This window comes from Homo sapiens, chromosome 11 (assembly GCF_000001405.40).
Source record: "Homo sapiens chromosome 11, GRCh38.p14 Primary Assembly".
Classification (NCBI taxonomy): Eukaryota; Metazoa; Chordata; class Mammalia; order Primates; family Hominidae; genus Homo; species Homo sapiens.
Genome location: NC_000011.10, coordinates 111,090,472 through 111,112,493, shown reverse-complemented (window position 1 = coordinate 111,112,493; position 22,022 = coordinate 111,090,472). Strand labels below are relative to the sequence as shown.

Sequence of the window (22,022 nt, the reverse complement as noted above, 5' to 3'; positions counted from 1 at the left end):
CTGAATTTGATGGTCACCACCCACCTTCTCTTTTTACCCTTCACGTACTGAACATGCCTGCATTCCAGTCTCTACATAGCAATCATAGTCAGGTTTTAACAACATAAACCTGATCATGATACTTCTCTAGCTGGAGCCTTTTGTGATTTCTCATTGCCCTGGAATTAAGTCTTAATTGTTACCTTGTCTTATTTGAGACCTTCACTACCCATTACTTTCCTACCTCTTCCTTGCACTCCTCTCGCCCTCAGCATTCTGTGCTCCAGTCATTCTGTTCTACTCTTATTTCCTCTTACTTCCATTTAAGGCTCCATGTTCCCTTTGTCTTGGGACTTTCGCTTGTGCTATTCTCTGTATCTAGAATGCTCCTTCCTCCTTCTCCCCCCTTTTATTTTGCTAGCTTGTACTCATCTTGCAGGATTCAGCTTAAGTGTTACCCTCAGTATGGGTAAAGAGCAACATTTAAGGAGGCCTTATTTGATCCCTCATTCTATTAGCTGCACTTATACTTATCCACTGTATATATATATATATATGTAACTATGTATGAAATATAATATGTATTATACACAATATATGCACACATACACTTTTTCATAAATCAAAGACTAGAAATGATGAAACCAAAATGTAAATTAATTTTGGTTCTTTCCGAGTTGTGCGTCCTTGGTAATGTGTGTGTGTGTGTGTGTGTGTGTGTGTGTGTGTGTGTGTGTGTGTGTCTGTAGAAAGAGAGCTCCTAAAAACCTTTTCCTTCCTTTTCCTAATGCTTTTAATAATCATCTTCCATACTAGTTTGTAAGAACAATGAAATTATTATCATTATTATTATTTTATCATTCTATTCCTCTTCACCTAGCATAGGTGAAGAGAAATATTAAGAAATATTAAGAAATATTAAGCACAGAAGTGCTTAATAGATATTTGTGGAATAAATGAATGCAAGAAAGAATGAATAATAATACCTTTAGTGATATGGCATTTGTATGTGTATGGGGTGATACTTACGCAGAGTAGTTCCATCCTTGATTATCATCTTTGAATATAATGGAAAGTGTACATTTATAGAAGTTTAAAAGTATTATTTAGTATCATTGCAAGAGGAGACCATCATTGTTAACAAAACTCAGCTAGTATGAAGCATTGCCTGGTTTTTCTTCTCTGCTTCATGCCAGCTTACGTAGAACAACATCTCATTCCTGCCTCTCCCAAAAAATATCAGCTACTTTTCTAGAGCATCATCTTTTTGAAATAGATCCTTACTTTCTGCACAGACAAAAATCTTTTCCACCTTTTCCCAGATTATTGCACTAAATGTACCATACTTTTAGTGACTTAACCCGGCACAAATCTATTATTGCACATTTCTGGAGGTCAGAAGTCAGAAATAGGCCTTTCAGGACTAAAATCAAGGTGTCTTCCTTCCAGAGGCTCCTGGGAAAAATCCATTTTTAGACTTTTCCAGTTTCTAGAGACTGCCAGCTTCCTTGGCTTGTGGTCACACCACACCAATCTATGCTGATTCATCTCCCCCTCTGACTCTGATCCTCCTGTCTCCCTCTTACAAAGACCCTTGTGATTATATTAGGCCCACCCAGATAGTCCGGGATAACCTCCCTATCTCAAGATCCTTAACTTAATTGCCTTTGCCAAGTCCCTTTTGCAATATATGGTAAAATATTCATAGATTTGGGGAATTAGGCAGTGGACAAGCTTTGGGTCTGTGGGGGTGGGCAATATTCTACCTACTACACTGCACTCTTCAGACAGGAAGCAGATCTGAATCTGTTGCCTCATCAAATAGACTCATATAAAGACCGTCCAGTTCAATTCTCTCCTTAGAAATGGGAACACAGACTTGCCCGGGAAGATGCAAATTGTTCCAGGCCAGAGTTTTCTAATTGCATGACATTGTCCTAAGAGTGAAAGAACACAGAGGGGTAAGTTTAGGTGCAAGTACAAGCAGGCACCTCAGTGGGTTGCATTTCAAAAGATATGAAGAGCAAACTCTTCCAATTAGAAAGACTAGTTGCTGGAACCAGAAAGTAGAGTTAAGAGTCTTCCATATCCTGGGCTATTCAAATGAAATTGATTTTGCCCCAAGAATCTGCTCCATGTTTATGCTTTGGACTAAGTTAGACTTTTTAGCAACTTAGTTAGAATCTTACCTGTATTTGAATTTGCTCCATTTGAGACTTGGCCTTTTACATTTTAGGGCATATATTGCTCTGACTTGGGGGTTGGTTGTTTTCCATCTGTCATGATGCATCCCTAACAGGCTGCCCTTGCCGTTGGCATCGGCCTGTGATCTTGGGCCCAATCAGTTAAGGACAGCAGAATAAGATTACTTAGGTTTCAAGTGCATTGCTTTGCAAATCTCAACCAACAATGAGAGGAGACTGTTCTTTGTAGGCCAGTGGGGAAGCAAGTTCACTACTGAGCCTTTTCAGGCATCATGATTCATCCAGAACTGTATATTTATATGAAATACAGGGCAAGGAAGGGAACTGGTCAGGCAACCCAGGTAATTTGTATGCATGTTAAATATATGACTTAGTAGATTTTTTGAAGCCTATCTTTTTACAAGTTTCAATGACTGGCAAGGGTATATGTCCACTACTATACATGAGATAGTGATGTTCCCTTCAGCTCACATATAGTCTTAATAGTGGTTCTTTTTATAAGTGGCACAAAAAGAGTGGCTATGAGGAAGAAAAGGGATTTTTAGCATCCTTTCCTTTTGAAATAATCGTGAAACCAGAGTGCAAAAAAACTATTAGTTGGGTTGGATGCTTTTAAAATTACTAAATATTGACCATTGAAATAAACAAAACTAGTGAAGATGATTTTGGGGTGCATATAAAGTAAGATGTTACCTTCAACCATTTGGAAACATAGACAGGCACTCTTAACATCTATTTACTTTAGAAATAAGGTTTTTTTAAAAAAAATTAAAGTGGGCTTGTCAATATTAGCAGTCCAGTACTTTTAGTATAGTGGTCTTATATGAACTTATGTAGTATGCAGTGGCTGTTGAGATAAAACAATGTTGAACTTTCCCCAGATTTCATGAAAAAAATTAAGCTGATGGGTAGAATAATAGATTTTTCTCCCACATATGTATTTTAAAATTGTGTCTGATGCTACTTGTTTAATATCATATAAGCTAGTATCTATTTAATTTTTAAACACTTTATTATTGGTAGGCTTATTTTTTATATTTCCTGGTATTCTACAGAGTATCATAACTTTTAGCCTGTATATTACTTGAACAGATTTTAGAATTTAATTTGATAACCCTATCCTAACACTGTCTTTTGATCTATAAACCTAAATAACCAATTACTGGACTTGGTTACTCACATGTTCCTGAGGCCTCTCAAACATAATGGTTCTAAAATAGCAACCTTCCCTCCTAAGGCTACCTGTTCTCTTCTCTCTGCACTATTCGCTCAGTTTCCCAAACTTTAAACTTAGAGACATCCTTGATTCCTCAATATTTAATGGGTCATCAAGTTCTGTCAGATTTACCTATTCAATATCTCTGTAATTAATTTCTTTCCATTGTTGATTTTATCATTTTGGCTCCAGTTTCTTTCTTGAGAATGAGATACTAAAGCAACTTTCCAGCCTCTCCCTGGAGTCCTGTCTCCTTTCATCTCTTCTCTGTACTGCGACCCGGAATGAGTTTTCAAAAACACCAATGTGATCATTATCCCTTCCTTCTGGAAAAGAAGTCACTGGCCTCAGAATAAAACCCAAGCTCCTTTGCATGGTTTATGTCACCATCCATGCGTGGTGAACACCATTTGCACTCTCTGAAATTAATGCCACAGCCAGCGGAACCATGTGCAACTCCCTGGATGCAATAAGCTCCCTTCTGTTTCTATTCTGGAGTGCATTCAATCATCTATCAAAATGCTACTGAGTGCTGCCTATGTACTAGGCACTGTATGCTATTAAGATGTTCACAGCCTCATGGGGAAACCAGATACATAATACATAACTGGAATATCTTTTGGTTATGTGCAAAGAAAGACCTATGTACAAGGTTATAGAAATATGAAGTATGGGTGCCTAATCCAGCCTGAGAAGATCAGGGATGGCTTTCTGGTAAAAGAGGCAACAATTCTGAGTCTTAAATGATGAGAAGAATTTAGTTCTACCCCTAAGAACTTAATACAACCATTGAGGATAGTTGCATAGCACTTTACATGTATGTTCATGATAAGAAATCTAAAAGTTAGTAGGTACTACTACACTGTATGTCAGGCAGTGGATTAAATGTTTTACTTGTATCCTTAGTATTGCATTATAATGTCCATTCAAATAGTTCACTGTGTTGTGTTCACATAAATCTAGAATAATGAAATAATAAATTTATGTTAAAAAGCAAAGTACACTTATGATAGAGCTAGTCCTTTCAGAAAAGTGGTGTTTTCACAGATCTAATGAGGAGACTACACTAGAAGGTCCTGAAAGTAGGAAAGATTGTTCCTATGAAGCTGGAAATCAAGCTTCATATTAATTTGGAAACATATTTGTTCTGTGAAAAATATTGAGCAAGTCATTTTTGAAAGTAAAATTTTTTTTGTAAGAAGCTGGTAGTATAGTTCCAGTTCTTTCATCATCTCCATCATATCAATAAGGGTTTGTAGTGCTACACTGAGACCAACTCTGGTTGATATGAGCAAAGAACTGAATTCAAGAGTTAGGCTGATAAAGAGGAAGTGGAGAGGAAAATGGTGATGGGATGGTAAAAAGGAGAAGCCAGAGAAAACACAGTGAGCTGGGGTGACCAGAGTTCATTCACAGTGCTTCTCTTACCACACAATTTCAATTTCTGTTGTATACTCTCTAATGGTGGGACAGTATTGTTGCATTAGGAGGTGAGAACTGCAGAGGTAACTTCCTTATAACAATGCTTTCTGAAGCCATTGTTCCCATTAATCTTCTTAGTAAAAATAGCTCATGTTGGTTAAGTTGTTTCAACTTCACTAAAGCTTGAAGAAGATGCAAATAAATTTATAAAAACAAGGGTGAATGGAGAAAAATACTGTGGTCATAGCACTGAGAAGCAACCAACTGAAGAAGAAGTGGAGACTTTCCAGCGAAGTTTATAAAGACCATTAAGTTTGGATTTGCCATAGGCAGTCCTACAACAAAGGAAGCCTTAGTCATATCCATCACATTAGGACCAAGGAAGTCTAGAGACTGTTCTATCATTCCAGAACTGTGTTCAGAAGCAGCAGCTTTTAATGAACCAGAGGAAATGTCTTTAGAAGCAAAGCTGAAGATGATGAACGTTGGATGGGACAAACCAACAGCCGCAAGACCAAACCCTTTCAATAAAGAACACAAGGGGTTTTTGATCATCAGAAACTACGGGAGGGAAATATAAATTCTCACCTTGGAAATGTTTATGACCAAGATAATTAAATGATGTGTTCTGAGAATGGGATATGGCAGCTGCTTTCTTTCCTAAAAAGAATTTATTTTTATTTTTGATTGAAAGGGACACTAATAAATTCATGAGTTTGGAACTAGAGGTAATTCATGTTTTATGTAAAAATTTTAGACACTTGATATTTTTGCAGTTTCATGTGATCAGTTTCCAAATCTAACAGATAATAAATCAGAAATTGTGGTGGGGAAAGGATGCTGTGAAGCGGATGGAATCAGTAGTAATGATGGAGAACTAGCTTGAAGCTGTGCAGACAGGAGAAATGCCCTGGCTAGTCACATCATCCATCTATTCTTGTAGGGACAACATCGTTGCTTCCACAGAGCATGAATGCTGCAGCTGGCCCTGTCTATACTGCTGGACACTGGGTGCTGGGTACTAGCACTGGCATGGTTGCCACTGAAACTTTACAGACTTGGTCATCCTTACTATTGTTGCCACCAGCAACAGTTGTTTGTGGTATTTTGTTTTGTTTAGTTTTCCATCCTTATTGCTCAATTCAAAGACTGGGGTGTGTGTCTCTATTTGGTAGAGCCTAGGACATGTGCCTTTGCCTTACTTGCAAGCCAGCCTGGGTAAAGTATAATAGTGTCAGGGAATTTTAGCTTCTACAACAAGAAATAGGTTCTGTCTTATGCCTTGGGAATTCCCTAAGTAAAGGAAGGGATTCTGATGCTGGCCAAATGGAAAGACCATGTCTGCTCTTCTCCCCAAAGCACCTAAGTTCCAAATGCCTGCTGTGTCTGATGACAATTGAGACTGTAAGCTAATGATTTAGATGAAGAATTATGGGGTGCATAATTGAATTCATAACTGAACCCTGAAAGCTACATATCCCAGGCCTCTTGCTGAGCATTCTACCTCCTAAGGTTAAAATTTACTGATTTGCTCTTTCCCCTCTTAATGTTCTTCCAATCCTCTATTTAATCACTGCAAAATCCAAATTATGTCATTGATTGCCTCAGTATGCTAGTAAAGTGAATTTGCTGTTCAAAATTAGGGTTAATAAAAAATGAATATAATTGTAAGAATGTTACTTGATGAAACTATATTTAGATGTAAAAGGCTGTAAGATGAGCAAAGTAAATTTTTAAGTATAAAGAGTTTGGCCTCTTTTACCAAGGACCTGCCAAGATGGGCAGCCTTCACACCAAAACAGTGAAGAAGGTAGCCTGGGTCATCATAGAAAAGTATTACATGCACCCCGGTAATGATTTCCACATGAACAAGCAAGTGGGTGAAGACTGTCATTATCCCCAGCAAGAAGCTCTGCAACAAGATAGCAGGCTGAGTCACGCATCTGAAGAAGCAGATTCACAGGGGCCCAGTAAGAGGTATTTCCATCAGGTTGCAGGAGAAGAAGAGAGAAAGGAGAGATAATTATGCTCCTGAGGTCTCAGGCTTGGATCAGGAGATCACTGAAGTAGATCTTGATACTGGAGAAATGCTGAAGGTTTGGACTTTGGGAAATTCATCCCAACTGTAGGCTGAGTGACCTGCAGATTGGACTATCCACCACATGGAGCTGTTTGAATCTTTCTGAAATGTTGTAACATTTTCAATAAACCTGGAGAAAAAAAGAAAAAGAAAAAGAAGCAAGAGTTAGTATCTTTGCCCTGTAAAAGCAGAACGTTGTTATAGGATATTTAAAATGATCATCTGGCATCTTACTATGTTCTGGAAGGTTTACATGAATTATCTCATTTAATTTTTACTATGTGATAGGTGTCATTATTAGTCCCAATTTATAGAAAATGGAGCAAAACCCTAGAGAAGTTAAATAACTTGCCTCAGATAACACAAACAGTAAGTGGCTATACCATAATTCAATTCTATGTCTGTTAATTTCCAGTTTTTACACTTTTAACTACTACATATTGAAAATTAAAAATACGGGCGTCTAAGGATGCCTCTACTTGCAATCACTATATAGTTACTTAAGAAAATGCTTCATATTTACAAAATCTCTAAATATTATTATGAAAATAATAAAGAATATTGAATTATTTTATAAAATAAAAGAGATTGTTTCAGATAAACATGGCAGAATAAACATACATGTTTTCTTCTGCTTCATCCCCCAAGTCTCACTAGAATGACAATAAAAGAAAGTTTAAGAGGCATAAATTAACAAGGACATAAAAGCATAAACTTGTAACAAATAATTTTTTTTAAATTTGGAAGTAGAAACTTGGAAGAACTAAAAGTAACTGACTTAAGTGGCCTGAAAGATCAGAGATCCAAGCCTGTAGTATGAAAAGCCAATGAAAGCAAACCGATTGATCCTGCAGAACTTGAGGAAGGCACAGGAATTTGGGACCATGGGTATCTGGAAAAGTAGGAGGCTCAGGATGGGGCTTAAAAAGATGGATTGGTTGAAAATATTTATATATATTGGTGATTAAATCCCCAGATCTTCTTTCCTGGGGCCACGGTTCCCCCATACACTGGCCAAGGATTTGAGGTTCACTCTAGAGAGAATGAATCACATTCTCTAGACAGTAAACACAAGCTAGTAAACACATTCTCTAGATAAAAGCACACAGGTCCTCAAATTGGAGAAGCTGCACACACCTGCAGGTAAGTTAGAGGAGTCCCTTTACTGGAAACAGAGAATGTTAAATGTAAATATGCAAATGGAAATGAGATCTCCAACCCAACCCCACTCAGCTTCCTGAACACTAACAGTGAAACTTGTAAAACCATTTCCTTTATCCTAAGCAATGAACCTGGAAGATTTTCATTTGGGAAGCATAACTTGCACAAGGAGGAAGTGCTATGGAGACTACTTTTATGGTCCCTCAAAAAGACAACTGTGTCCATACCTGCCCATCTTGCAGTGAAGCCTATCAGTTAGTAAGTCCCACACAGAGCTACTTAATTTCCAATCAGGTATCCACAAATCATCAAATGTTTGAGGAAAGACTCTAACAATGCACTGAACAAACAGAAAAAAAGAAAAGCGATGAAGCTTTGAAATATGCTCAGAAACACAAAATGAGAAAACATGCCCATAAAAAAGAATGGATTGATTTAAAAAGAAAGATCTTGGATATTAAAAAGTGATAGCAGAAACTAAAAATTTAGTGGACAGCTTGAAAAATAAAGTTGAAAAAATATTTCAAAATATATCTCCCAAAAGTGATGAGAAAAGACAAGAAAATTAAAGGATCTGTTGAAGACTGCCAAAAGATATGATAATAGAAGTTAACAGAAGTTCCAAAGAGAGGGACCAGAAGAAATAAAGAAAAAATATTATTAAGGATCCTTTCTAAAAATATTTCCCAGAACTATGAGAATTAAGTTTCAAAGAAAAGGCTGAAAGATTGACCAGAAAATGGAGATGAAAAACAAAAACGAAAACTAAAACAAGGCATATCACCATAAAAATTTTAGGACACCTGAAATAAAGGAAAAATCTAAAAACCTCCAGGGGTCTGGGTTGGAGGGATAGAGGGATAGAGGGAGGGATCATTACATACAAATGATTGGGAATCAGGGTAAGATTAGACTCCAGCAAACAATATAAGAAACTAGAAAACAATGGATTTATAAATCAGAATTTTATATCCAGCCAAATTAACAATCAAACATGAAGGTAGAAAGATGTTTTTGGACCTGCAAGTTCTTAACAATTTTAGGTCCCAAGGATTCTTCTCAAGAAGCTCCTGAAAACTGTGCTTCCCTAAAGTTATGACATCTTCCAAGAGAGAAGAAGTCAAGGTGTCTTGGAAACAGAGATTTTAACATAGAAACAAGATAAAGGCAATTTCCAGGATGTTGGGAAGAAAAGTCTAGGACAAATGTGGTGCGGCAGACCTCCAGAGCAACTGGTCCTGTTCAGAGCATGAGGAAAGAAGGCTCCAGCAGGGATGTTTGCAAGAAAAAAATGTAAAAAGCAAAACTGATGGGCTTTCAGTTGTGCTAGAACTCAGCTCTGTCAGAGTTAGGGAATGAGTGACAGTTACATAGTAAACCAAACAATTTGACTAAATGTGGAAATTATTAATTCTAGATAGCAAGATGTTATAGAAAAAAGAAAATGAAGCTACAATACACTATATTGATTTACTCACATTATTTCTACATATTGATAAAATGTGAACAGTAAACATTGATTAAACCAAAAACGGTGATGTTGTAATTTTAGAAGACTAGGAAAAGGTGAGTTAATACATTTATTTGTGTGTAAAAGGGCGAGGGGCAGGGTTGTAAGAGTCAGATTCTCATCTTATATATTAGAAATTAATAGATCTCAATTAAATTTTTAAAATCATAAAGGAAAAATATAAATAAATGATTTAGAAATATGGAAGTAAACACCAGAAGAAACAGACAGAAATATTGAAGGTGGCTGATTCTGGGGAGTTGGAATTGAGAAAGAGGCAAGTATTTGCTTTTTTGTGCATTATTTTAATAAAAACAAATTAAATTAAGAAAGCAAATGTACTCCTTTAAAATCTAACGTCTTGACAAACATCTTGTTACATAATTCTTATGGAATTATAAATATTCTGACTTTTTTGCCAAACATCTAAATAATTAGATATCTAAAAGTGATTCCAAAGTAGTAAAGTAGAAAAGCTACAAAGTTTCCTGTTCCCTTTCTACAAACTATTTGAGAAACCATGTAGTTTATTTGAAAGTATTTCATATCTTAATATGTTCAGAAGGACAGTCAATAAATATTTTTGAATAAAAAATGAGCAAGAGTAGTAAATGTTCCAATTTTTAAAAATAGTGAGACTATTTTTTTGGCCATAAAAGTTACAGATTATGTACTGACTGTATTTAAGTTCAATGCTACTTAACACAGGATCTGGCCATACATATGGGAGATGCTTGCTAAGTGTTTGGATGGAACTGAAATTTTTGAGTGCCGTGAAGACCTGATGGAGCCAAGAATTAAGGGAGGGGGTGCTCTCGATTGACTTGCTACAGTTTGATTTGTTACTTTCCTGTTGGAATGAAAACGAAATTCACAAATTCCTAGAGGCTTTTACTAGGAGTGAAATTCCAAGCTTTTATGATTCTTGTCTGTAAAGGAACTTATTGGACTCCATGCTTCAGATTGCTGACCCACATCTGGATTCTAAATGGATTCATGGTTTTCCTCATAGTCTATAAATCACACATCCAAAATAAAACCTCTTTTAATCTACTCCAGTCCCAGCCACTTGTCAGTATTTTGTTAGCAACTGAAGAACATATCTTAAAAACAATAGGTATTTTTAATATAGAGAACAGTTTTTTTTTTCTGTTTCATTATTTTTGTTTTAGATTTCTATTAATTTAGTTTTGCAATTAAAATTTTCTTTCATGTATTAGTTATTAACACTAATGATAAAGTTTTCCCCTTTTAAGTAGTCTTTCCCCTTTTTTTAATTTAACAAATAAATATTTACTGTTTATTGGAAAACATGGTAGAAAACACCATCTAAATATTAGAACAGCTTATAGAATGCTCACCGTGCACCAGGAATGATTCTAAATATTTTGCTCACAAAAACTCACTTAATTTTCTTGTATTACTTTTCTGTTACTGCTCTGCTAAATTACCACAAATTTAGTGGGTTGCAACAACACATCTTTATCATCTTACAATTCTATAGTTCAGAAGCCCAATGTGGTCTCACTGGGCTAAAATCAAGGCGTCAGCATGACTGCGTTTTTTCTTTTTCTACTGGAGGCCCCAGGAAAGAATGTTTCCTTACCTTGTTCACCTTCAAGAGGCTGCCCACGTTTCTTGGCTCATGGCTCCTCTCTCCATCCCCAAAGCCAGACATTGCTTCTGTGATCACATCTCTTTCTCTCACTCCCCCTTTCTCTCTCCTTCTTTCACTTTTAAGGATCCTTTTGATTATAGTGGGCCCAGCTAAATAACCTCAGATAATTTTCCTATTTTAAGGTTAGCGGATTAGCAACCTTAATTCCATCTGCAAACTTAAATCTCCTTTGCTATGTAAGGTAACATACAGGTTCCAGGGATTAGGATATGGACATTATGGGGATCTTATTCTGCCTTCCATACCTCTCAACAATGCTAAAGGTACTATGATTATTAGCCTTGCTTTACAGATGAGGCACAGAAAGGCTATGCAAATTCTCCGAGGTTACAAAACTGAGATCTGAACCCAGACAATCTGGTTTAGGAATTAATACTCTTAAAAATCACATTACACCAAGATAACTCATCACCAACATATTGTACTTTTTATTTTACTGTGTTTTTTCCTGTGCTTTTTAACAGGATTATTAGAGTATAGGCATAATTTTGTGACCCTTTTCTTACCCTGTTTTCACTTTCTACGTGAACCTCCCCCCATCTTTATACTGTCTATCTGGCATCCCATTTCAGCCCCAGGGCCTTTGCACATGCTATTTCTCCTGCCTGTGATGCTTTTCCATATATCTGTGTGGCTTACTCAGTCTTACTTTACTATGCAAATATCTTGTCAGGAAGACCTTCTTTGACCAAGGTTTCTAAATACACACCCTATATCTTTTTATCCTTGCACTCTGCTTCTTTTTTTCTTTATAGAATTTATCATTAATTGATTTCTTGTAGTATATTAATTTATTAATTCATTTATTATTTGTCTCCCTTACTATAAAATGATCTCCACAAGGACAGGGACTTTTTGTTCATTGATGTAGGCTCTCAATAAGTATTTCTTGAATAATGAATTTTAAAATTAAGGAAAGCCATTTATAATGCCACTACTATAACAAATATCATCTGTCTTCATGTTCTATGCATTGTCTATTTGTAAATATAATTTTACATATTTAATTATAGCACAGAGACATTTACGTGTGTGTATATGTGTGTGTACATATTCAACTAAATATTACATCTTAAGCATTGTTCATTCTGTTCTACAGTCTTCAGAACTATTAGTTTTAATGACTTTGTGAAAAAATACTAAATTGGTGTATATAATTAACCATCCATTTATTAGATGTTGTTTAGATTATACTTTGTTCCTTTATTAACCAACCGTTTAATCTTTGACTGGTAATCTAACTACTTTGCACTTATTTGCTCATTAGGAAAAGTATATCTAGATTATTACTATTAAGTACAATAACATCAGTAAAGTACCCAGATTATACCTGATAAATAATTGTTTCCTTTATATTATTAGTTTCCTTTTCTGGTTTTATTTCTAATATATTGCTATTACAAAATAATGCTTCATTGAATATTTGTTGTTATTGACATTTTTGTGTTAGTCCTTAGGAAAAATATCCAAGAATTTTATCACTGAGCTGGAGTGGTTCAAAATTTTTGCTAAAGGAATTAAATCGAGTTAACTTATGATGAATATTTATATGTTGGTTTTAGATATGTTTCCCAAAAGACAGACATGATACTCCCCTTTATATTTTATTTAGAGCACAAGGTTTTTATTATTTCAGAAATATTTACTATTATTCCCATTAATACTTTAAGGCTTCCAAGGTATAAAACTTTCCTTTGCCTCATGCCTCAAAAATATTCAAAATTATATTTAGAACTGGGAAATGATTACCTCAGCCCTTTTTGGGCTGAGTGGATTGTTCATTCATTCTAGCTTTGAATCTCCTTTGAATTTCTTAGAATTGTGCCCAAATTATTTCCTTCTGAGCTTTTTTTTTTGAAAAATCTTTCTAATTTAACAGTTGCTTTTAAAAATAGATTCATCATCAGTTTGCTGCTATAGTTGTCTATATCTTTCCTGATCTCAATTTAGTCACAGCATCTGTGCAAAATGGTATGAAAGTTATTTATTACTCCACCATCCAGAGGGAATGCTTGATTCCTGACATTTATATTCCCTTGAACATAAACGCCAGATAAAAAGAAAAATCAAACTTCATGCTTTGGGGACTGAACAGATTGCCTACCATGGTTAGTAGAGAGTGCCCTCCCCCGCCTCCTCTTCCTGAATTAGAAATACATTTTCATGGCTGGTGTCCCTAAATGACCAGATATTTTTCTTTTTAATTACATTTGTTGGGACAGTTTGCACTGGGGAGAAAAGACCTACTGGGATGATAGAATAGCTTAATGGTTAAGAATAGGCTTTGGAAGCCTGTAGACCTGGGTTGGTCATCAATACCTCTGTTGCCTTGAGCTCATTGCCATTAGATTCCTGAGTTGTCAATGGAGATAATAGTCCTTAGCTCACAGATTTTTGTAAAGGTTAAATGAATTAATGTATGTAAAGTATATGCAAAATGTCAAATAAAGGAAGTGACAAAATGTTAATTATTATATAATAGTTAAGGTAGAAATAAAATGACCTTTACATGCAAAAACATGTGCACCTTGACAGCCACTGCTACAAACCTTAAGAGATTTGCCATTGCCTGCCATTAAACCCAGTAAGGGCTTAAATGCTTTGTCAAACTGACAGGCATCACTCTGTGGTGGTTTTAGATTCTGTACTGAATTATATCTTTTAACAAGACTTGTTCTTCTCATTTTGGTATAATATAGAAGACCAGTATAGTTACATGGGTGATTATACAGAAATAAATGCAGAGTTTTCACATGGTCCAGATTGTTCAATCATGGTTACATTAGGATTCAAGTGAAGGGGAGACTGCTACCAGCTCCCTTGCAACACTCAGGCATTAGAAGATGAAGTTGTGTGAGGTGTAAGGAAGGGCTTTCTATTTGTGGCAGACATGAACCTATGCTTTGGGGACTGAGCAGATTGCTTACCATGGTTAGTACAGAATGCCCTGTTGAAGCCACATGAGGTAATTTCTGACCACAGGTAATGAGATAGAAGAAATGTGAGTTTCTAGAACAGAAAAAAAAATTATATTGTGAGTCTTCATACCACTGAAACTGTAGTGCTTAGTTTCAGTTGATTTGGGATGCCCTGTCTTTCTCCCCAGAATCGGGGGATGGGAGTGTGATGCTGTACCAAGGCTTGTCTTTTATAGAGACCAACATTTGTGAGTAATCCTCATTCACATTCCATTGTCTGTAATTAGTCTATTATGGTTGCTAATTGTCACATGTTTCTAACTGAAAACAGTTTTTTAGGTTCCTAGAATTTCCTCATTTCTTCTACGACCCTTCTGGTTCCAAAGAATTGAACCTGCAACTCTCAGTCCATGTCAAGCCACCAGGCCACCAGGCACTCTGTGGGACCACCTAGGACCCTGACAATTTCCATGGCAATCTTGGCTGCCCAGGATTTCTCAGTGGCTCTCAGACTCCACCAGAGCGAGGGACACTCTGTGAGGCAGCTATGGGCCAGTCTTTGCTGACACAACACCCAGACTTTCACCTCCGAAGTCTGTGTCTCCCAGGGATCTGAGTTCCCCTCTTATATTCATCAGTTCTGTTTGAGAGTTTAGCATTTCTTCACCAAGCTTCTTTTTGCAAGGGACCCACAAGTTCTACAGGAATTTTGTTTCTCTCAGACCCTCTCTTCCTAGCCCAACAGAGAATCTCAACTAGATCCCAGAATGGGAAGGCTTTTCTGACTCATCATGCATTCCTCCAAATCTATGGTTTATGCTTATGACAGAGGCAGGAGGCAGCCAAGGGTCCCCAGCGAAACCCTGCCTTCAAGCCTAAAACAGCCTGAAGGCTGAAAAACCGGACTTCTGGTCCCGGATGAAGCCCGCCCCTTCCGGACTGTTTCTTTCTGAATAACGCCCACCTTTGCACTGGGAGAACGGGGTGGGGCCTCCAGAAGTTCACGCCATTTGCAGCGGGGAGGAGCCTGTTCCTGTGTGGCGACCTGGGCTTCAATCTGTGAGGCGGGAAACCTGCTAGCAGGACTCTTGCTTTGGTGAGAGTTTTTTCTTTTTCCTTTTCCCCCAGTAAATTCCGTTTTCCTCACCCTTCTGTGTGTGTCCGCGAGCCTAATCTTTCCTGGTCATGTGACAAGAGCCCGGTTTTAGCTGAACTAAGGAGAAAGTTCTGCAACGTTTAGACATCTCTTTTGAAACACAATAAACTTTAAGATAACAGAAAATGTTAAATAGCAATTTGCCAAACATCAGGAAAGACATGGAAGTAAAAAAATGTGAGCTTTTAAAGACAAAAGTCATATCAGATGCAATTAAAAATACTCAGAAAATTTGGAACCAAGTTCATATTCAGGAAACATGGCATACGTTTTGTAGGAAATCACTTAAAGTAAAAAAAAAAAAAAAAAAAAAAAAGATATAAAAACGTTTACTTCTAATTCTTTCTCCCAAACTCAATTGCAGAAATGCCATAGAAGGGACAAGAAAGTGTATAGATTTGAGCATTTAACATTAAAAATTGGGATGGCTCTGGGGAGAGAGAAAGTGCCTGTATCCTTATATGGGAGAAAACAGTAGCTGTGGTAGGAGAGGCACCAGGATCTGAGGATAAAGTGGAGGAGTTATAGAGCTAGGTTTTCTTTCCATTTCCAGTCTATTATTTGAGGACCTATGCTTGTCCCTCCACCAGTGGATTTTTTCTAGAAAGCCAAACAAAAACAAACATTAAAACCAAAAATCCCGGCTGGGCCTGGGGGCTCACACCTGTAATCCCAGCACTATGGGAGGCCAGGGTGGGCAGATCACCTGAGGTCAGGAGTTCAAGACCAGCCTGGCCAACGTGGCGAAACCCTGTCTCTACTAAAAATACAAAAATTAGCTGGGCATGGTGGCATGCCTGTAATCCCAGCTACTCCGGAGGCTGAGGCAGGAGAATCGCTTGAACCCAGAAGGTGGAGGCTGCAGTGAGCCGAGATCGTGCCATTGCACTCCAGCCTGGGTGATAGAGCGAGACTCCGTCTCAAAAAACAAGCAAACAAACAACAACAACAACAACAAACCCAAATCCCCATCAGTTCTATCCCAGTGCAGCCAGGATCCACAGCAACCTCAGGGCCATGCTGGTGCTCACTGTGGTGAGGAACCGTTAGACAGCAAATTGGTGGTGGTATTGGGTATTTTATCACTCCACCCCACTTCCCATTAGAGGGCTAGTAAATTAAAATCAACAGAGGAACCTCACACTGGGGACAGGGAGCAGGAGCTGTGCACATAATGATGGGCAGAGTCAGGCTGTAGAGCCAGGGTCTTCCACTTTGGGGCATGCCCCCTTCTTGTTTAAGCATATTAGGAGAGGCACGATAACCAGGGATGAGAGTTTGGCTGTGTCTCCCATTTCATATTACCAACCAGGGAAATATGAGCCCACAGGAAACACTACAAAAAAGGTATGGATAGACATACATCTTTTAAAATTATTGTCCAGCCTTAAAAAAAAAAAGCTAATATTATTCAGCCTTAAAAAAAAAACCCAAATCCTGAAATACGCCACATGGATGAACCTTGAAGATGTTATGCTAAATAAAATAAGCCAGTCATAGAAGAACAAATACTGCATGATTCCACTTATATGAAGTATCTAAAACAGCCAAACATGTAGAATCAGAGAGTGGAATGGTGATTGCCAGGTTGTGGTGGGAGTGGGAAATGGGAAGTTACTAATCAACAGGTATATAGTTTCAGTTTCAATTATGTAAGATGAGTAAGTTCTGGAGATCTGCTGATCAGCATTGTACCTAGGGTCAACAGTATTGTATTTATACACTTAAAGATTGGTTAAGATAGTACATCTCATGTTAAGTGTTGTTACCATAATAATAATAATTTTAAGAAAGACTGCCAAGTGAATAAGCTATACCACATGCAATGAAATTCATGGCCTTAATAAGTCAAGCATTCACTACTAATTTATATTTTCAAAAAGATATAGAAGAATATTGTTGATTGAATTAAAAAAGCAGAATCAAGTGGCAAAATTGGGCAAGGAAAATATGGCTGTTGAAATAAGAACTCCATAAATGAATGTATTACAATATGGCTGAACAATTAGTTTGCTATAAGATCAGGTTAAGAAACTCCTTCAAAAAGCATCAAGATGTAATAAAAATATTAGAAATATAAAAGAGAAAACAAGTGATATGGAGGATAGAATGGAAGTGACACCATGCAAATCAAAGGTGCCCGTAGAAAGGAAAAAAAATAAATAACTGGAAGAAAAGAAATATTTGGAAAAAGCATAAACAAAAATTTGCTTGAATTTCAGGTTGAGAGAAATCATTGGGTGCCGAACAGGTTAGAACACCTGAAACATTATAGACATTAAGTACATAAAAAGCAAACAGAAAATTCTAGTTTCCACCGGGAAGTATCATATCACTTAAAAAAGAATAAGAATCAGAATGATGGTTTCCAGCTTCATCCATGTCCCTACAAAGGACATGAACTCATCCTTTTTTAAGGCTGCATAGTATTCCATGGTGGATAGCATTAGGAGATATACCTAATGTAAATGACAAGTTAATGGGTGTAGCACACCAACATGGCACAGGCATACATATGTAACAAACAAATGTTGTGCACATGTACCCTAGAACTTAAAGTATAATAATAAAAAAAGAATAAGAATCATGCTGACATTAGACTTCTCAATGACAACACTGGATGCAAGATAATGGAGTTGTCCAGCTAAAAAAAATTATATTTCTGATATATTCATGTAAACTATTATAAGTATTAGGATGTAATAAAGATATTCTCAGGTATACATGACCTCAGGCTTACTACATGAAGATCCTCTTTGAAAACATGCTTGTGGGAAGTTCTCTGATTCAAGGAGAAATAAATACAGAAGAAAATGATAAAATATGTGAGATAAAACGGTAAGTAACTTAGTAAAGTTCAATATTATTTCAAAAGAATGGACCAAAGAATGTATATTTATACTAATCTAGAACTAAGTTCTAGTTGATTAAAAACATAGTTGGGGGTGAGACGTAAATGTATTCATAACAGTCTATTCAGAGCTGCTTGTCTTGACAACCTGGGACCCCTGTATAATGAGATAGCCACGAATAGGTAAGGAAACAGCCTGTTGCAGGAGAATGACCCTGGGGTGGGAATCAGGAGATCTGAGATTTACTTCTGTTCTGCCACTAATTTGTTGCATGCCCTTTGCAAAATAACTTTCCTCAATTATTCAGGTATTTTTTCTTAAGTGTAGATGAGGCAGTTGGACCAGGGCTAAGTTCTTCTCAGTTTTCTTATTCTATGACACGCACACTTAATCTTTAATCAGCAGCAATGATATGGAGGTTTCTGTCTATATATATGTATATTTTAAATTTTACTATTATAATCATAAACAATAGTGGCCAACAGTGATCCTTTTGGAATACTGAGCTGAAACTCTTCTAAGTGCTTTTGTGAAAATATTATCTTGAGGTAAATGACATTTATCTCTCAATTAGGCAGTAAAGGACAGGAAAGGAGTTTACATTCTACTGTTTTATGCTCGTATTTTATCGACTTCATTAAACTTTGCATTTAAACACGTATATGTCTGCAGTTTATTAGAAAATTAAATGACAGTGACATTTGATACACACAGATGAGATGGAAAGGTTACATTTGCATGAATCTCTGTTTCAGTTTTCAGTTTTAATTCTAAATTATGAGTCCTTTCTCTAGTCATTAACTCATTCTGGGCATGGATTGATTAGACCATAATCTGCTTGGAAATAGGAACTGTACCTGGTTTTCATGGCCCACAATAAACACTCTATAAACGGTTGAGTGGAGGAAATCACTCAACCACATAGATGGATACTGCTCACTCCCATTCATGGTCTAATGTTAGTGCAAATAGCCCTCTGTTGGTGTTGGTGGTCAGGTCCTCAAGTGCTTTTGGTCACTTCTTTCCCAGTTCCCTATTCTAAACCTTTATCGTGGTGGACACAAGCCACCTACACAACCCTTGCCACCTTCACTTTAAACAAATGACTCTCACATCTACTTCACTGAGAAAACTGAGGTCACACTCTTGGAATGATCCTAACGCTCACTGACTTTGTGTTGAGTACATTTTGGTGCTCTGTAAATATAGACAGTAAAACCCTCCTGCAATGCTAGTGAGGACAGCTGGTTGGCGATGAGTTCTAGCATCTGGGAACTCATGACCAATCATGTTATACCTGAGTGTGAGTTGTTGGACATTTTATTGCGGAGTATGTTCCTCAAGTGGTTACTCTATCTCACAGACCTGAACTCTTCCAACTCCTATTTTTCCTTCCTTAGTGTGTCCACACACCTACTCATTCTTTCCTGCATTTGGATAAGATATTTCCTTTCCAAGGTCTACATTCCACCAGTGCATTTCATCTCATCCCTCTTACCTTTCTCAGGACTTTGCTTTTTCTCTTGTGCTTTTAATTTCTCCTCTGCTGGCTCATTTCCCTCAGTCCAATTCATTTATTCATTCAATCAGATCAGGTTAAATTATTCATCCTAATTCTTCACTCCTCTTTAATAGGGTTACGTGTCCACCCCTTTACCATAAACTCTGTAGTATTCTCTCACTCCCATTTTTCTGGGTCTGTTTTGTCATCTGAAAGATGAAGCGCTTGAATAAGATCAAATTCTTACAGCTTTAATATTCTGTTACATACTTAATGTTTAATTAGCTGCAATGATACGGACATTTTTATCTCTATATTATATATGTTTTAAATTTAGTGTCATAATCATAAATGATAGTAGTCAGAGTATATTTTCCTACCTCATTGATGTTTGGCTTTGTTATGTGATCGCTTTGACCAATGGAAAGTGCAAGGAAGTAATAGCCAGACCCAGCCAAGGCTCCAAGAAGCATGACATGCTTCTGTTTGCCTCTTTGTTTTCCAGTGGTCTCCTGTGAGAAGAACATACCCCAGGTAGCCTCTTCTTTGAGAAGCACAAGGAAACACGTGGTGGTGGAACTGAACACAACCCACAGCCTGGAGCTAAACCCAACCTAAGCCAGCCAAGCTCTTCCAAGATCACCCAAACTCAAGTTGACCTGTAGATCCATGGGCAAGGAAAGAAATGCCTGCTGTTTTAAGATCTCAAGTTTTAGGTTGATTTGTTATGCAGCATTATTGCAGTAAAAATGAACTAATACACTACCTAATCCCATTTTTCTATTCAACAGTTATTTGTTGGGTAGCTGATATGTGCCACACACTTATAATACAGGCTTCAGGGATACCATGGTTAATAAAATAAAGAGGGCAAAAGTAAATGAACAAGATAATTTTGCATTTTGACAAATGCTAGGGATAAGACAAGATGAGTGATGTGATAAATTGTGGTGGGGCTGTGGAAGAGGGCACATTTAATTTGGATGGTCAGAGAGAGCCTCCTCTGGAAGGAAACATTTGAATGAGATGAATAACAAGGGCGAGGCTGCTAGAGGATGATCCAGCCACAGTGCATTCCTGCAGAAGAGCCAGGGTGGAGGTCCTACGGTGGAAATGAGTTTGGCTTAGGAACAGATTCAAGTATATCTCAAATAACTGAAAACTGTGAAATTAACATCAAAAGTATTTGGAAGGCTAGAAGCTAGGCTGATATGTAGAAATAAAACCCAGCCTCAGGAAGGAGCTGAGCCAGACTCAAAAACAAGGGGGGCAGCAAAGAGTGGTGGATTCTGGGCTGGCCTTGCTGGCCACTCACTTGTCAGGGTGGGGTGGGTCAGCTGGCTTAAATGTGCAGCTGGACAGACAGCTGCTGTTTCACTGCATTGTCTCACTGCATCTGTCTTCATTATCTGCATCCTATTTTGTGTTTCTTGGGCCAATGTTTCCCATCTCAGCTAGAGATATTTTACATTGTTTTCACTGCATGCAAATAATTTCACAATTTTCTGTGGAAAGCCTTTGCTCCCTCCTTTCTTGTTTTTTTCCAATTATTTTAATAGAAGTCGTGTGCATACATGGTTTAAAGAGTCAAAGAACTCTGTAAGGTTTATTTTAAAAAACAGCCACTGTTATGAGCAACACCCCCCTGCTGACATTTCCCCATTCCAGAGGCACTTTCATCTTTTTTACATGATTGACATTTCACCTTCCTGTCTCTAAATAACATACTTAATACTACTTCTTGATTTGCTATTTTTAGGTATTTTGTATTGATTTCCCTCAATTGACTAGGAGGACTTAGCTTTCTTCCTTCTTGCTTCTTTTATCAAACACCTTTCTATTCTATGCTATCACCGTTCCCTCTTGGTATAATGTTATGATAATTTTGCTGAGCTTAATGTTTCATTTGTATTATTATGATCACATAAATGCTTTTAATAGCCAAACCAGATGGTAAGATGTAATGATATTTCCTTTCTGTAGTAGGTGGCTTCTAATATGGTCCCCAGTGATCTCTGATGACTAGTATTCAAGGCCTTGTGTATTCCCCTCTCCTTGAGTGTGGACTGGGCTTATTGACTTGCTTCTAACAATTAGAATACAGCGAAAACAATGGATGTCACTTCTAAGATGGGGCTTCATAAAGACCAGCTATCATTTTGGGCACTATCTTTGGTTTGCTCACTCTTAGTGTGGTAGGTAGAGTTCTAAAGACATCCCCCCAAATTCTTACTCCTGGTTATTCAGTCGAACACTAATCTCAGTACTGCTATGAAGGGATTTTACAGATGGAACTAAGGTTGTTCATCAGCTGACCTTGAAATGGAGGGATTATCTTGGATCAT

The 22,022-nt window shown here is 37.2% G+C and overlaps 2 long non-coding RNA genes and 1 pseudogene across 2 annotated transcripts; 2 read left to right on the top strand and 1 right to left on the bottom strand.

The window, feature by feature from the left end:
* Positions 1 to 6,497: 6,497 nt before the first annotated feature.
* Positions 6,498 to 15,339, bottom strand: LOC102723966 (uncharacterized). Its single transcript, XR_428993.4, has 3 exons — positions 15,133 to 15,339; positions 14,178 to 14,259; positions 6,498 to 7,031 (listed from the first exon to the last, which is right to left on the bottom strand). It is a non-coding gene; the product is annotated as an uncharacterized LOC102723966 (long non-coding RNA).
* RPS17P15 (ribosomal protein S17 pseudogene 15) lies at positions 6,599 to 6,926 on the top strand (annotated as a pseudogene).
* Positions 15,176 to 20,562, top strand: LINC02550 (long intergenic non-protein coding RNA 2550). Its single transcript, NR_149131.1, has 2 exons — positions 15,176 to 15,264; positions 20,183 to 20,562. It is a non-coding gene; the product is annotated as a long intergenic non-protein coding RNA 2550 (long non-coding RNA).
* Positions 20,563 to 22,022: the final 1,460 nt, after the last annotated feature.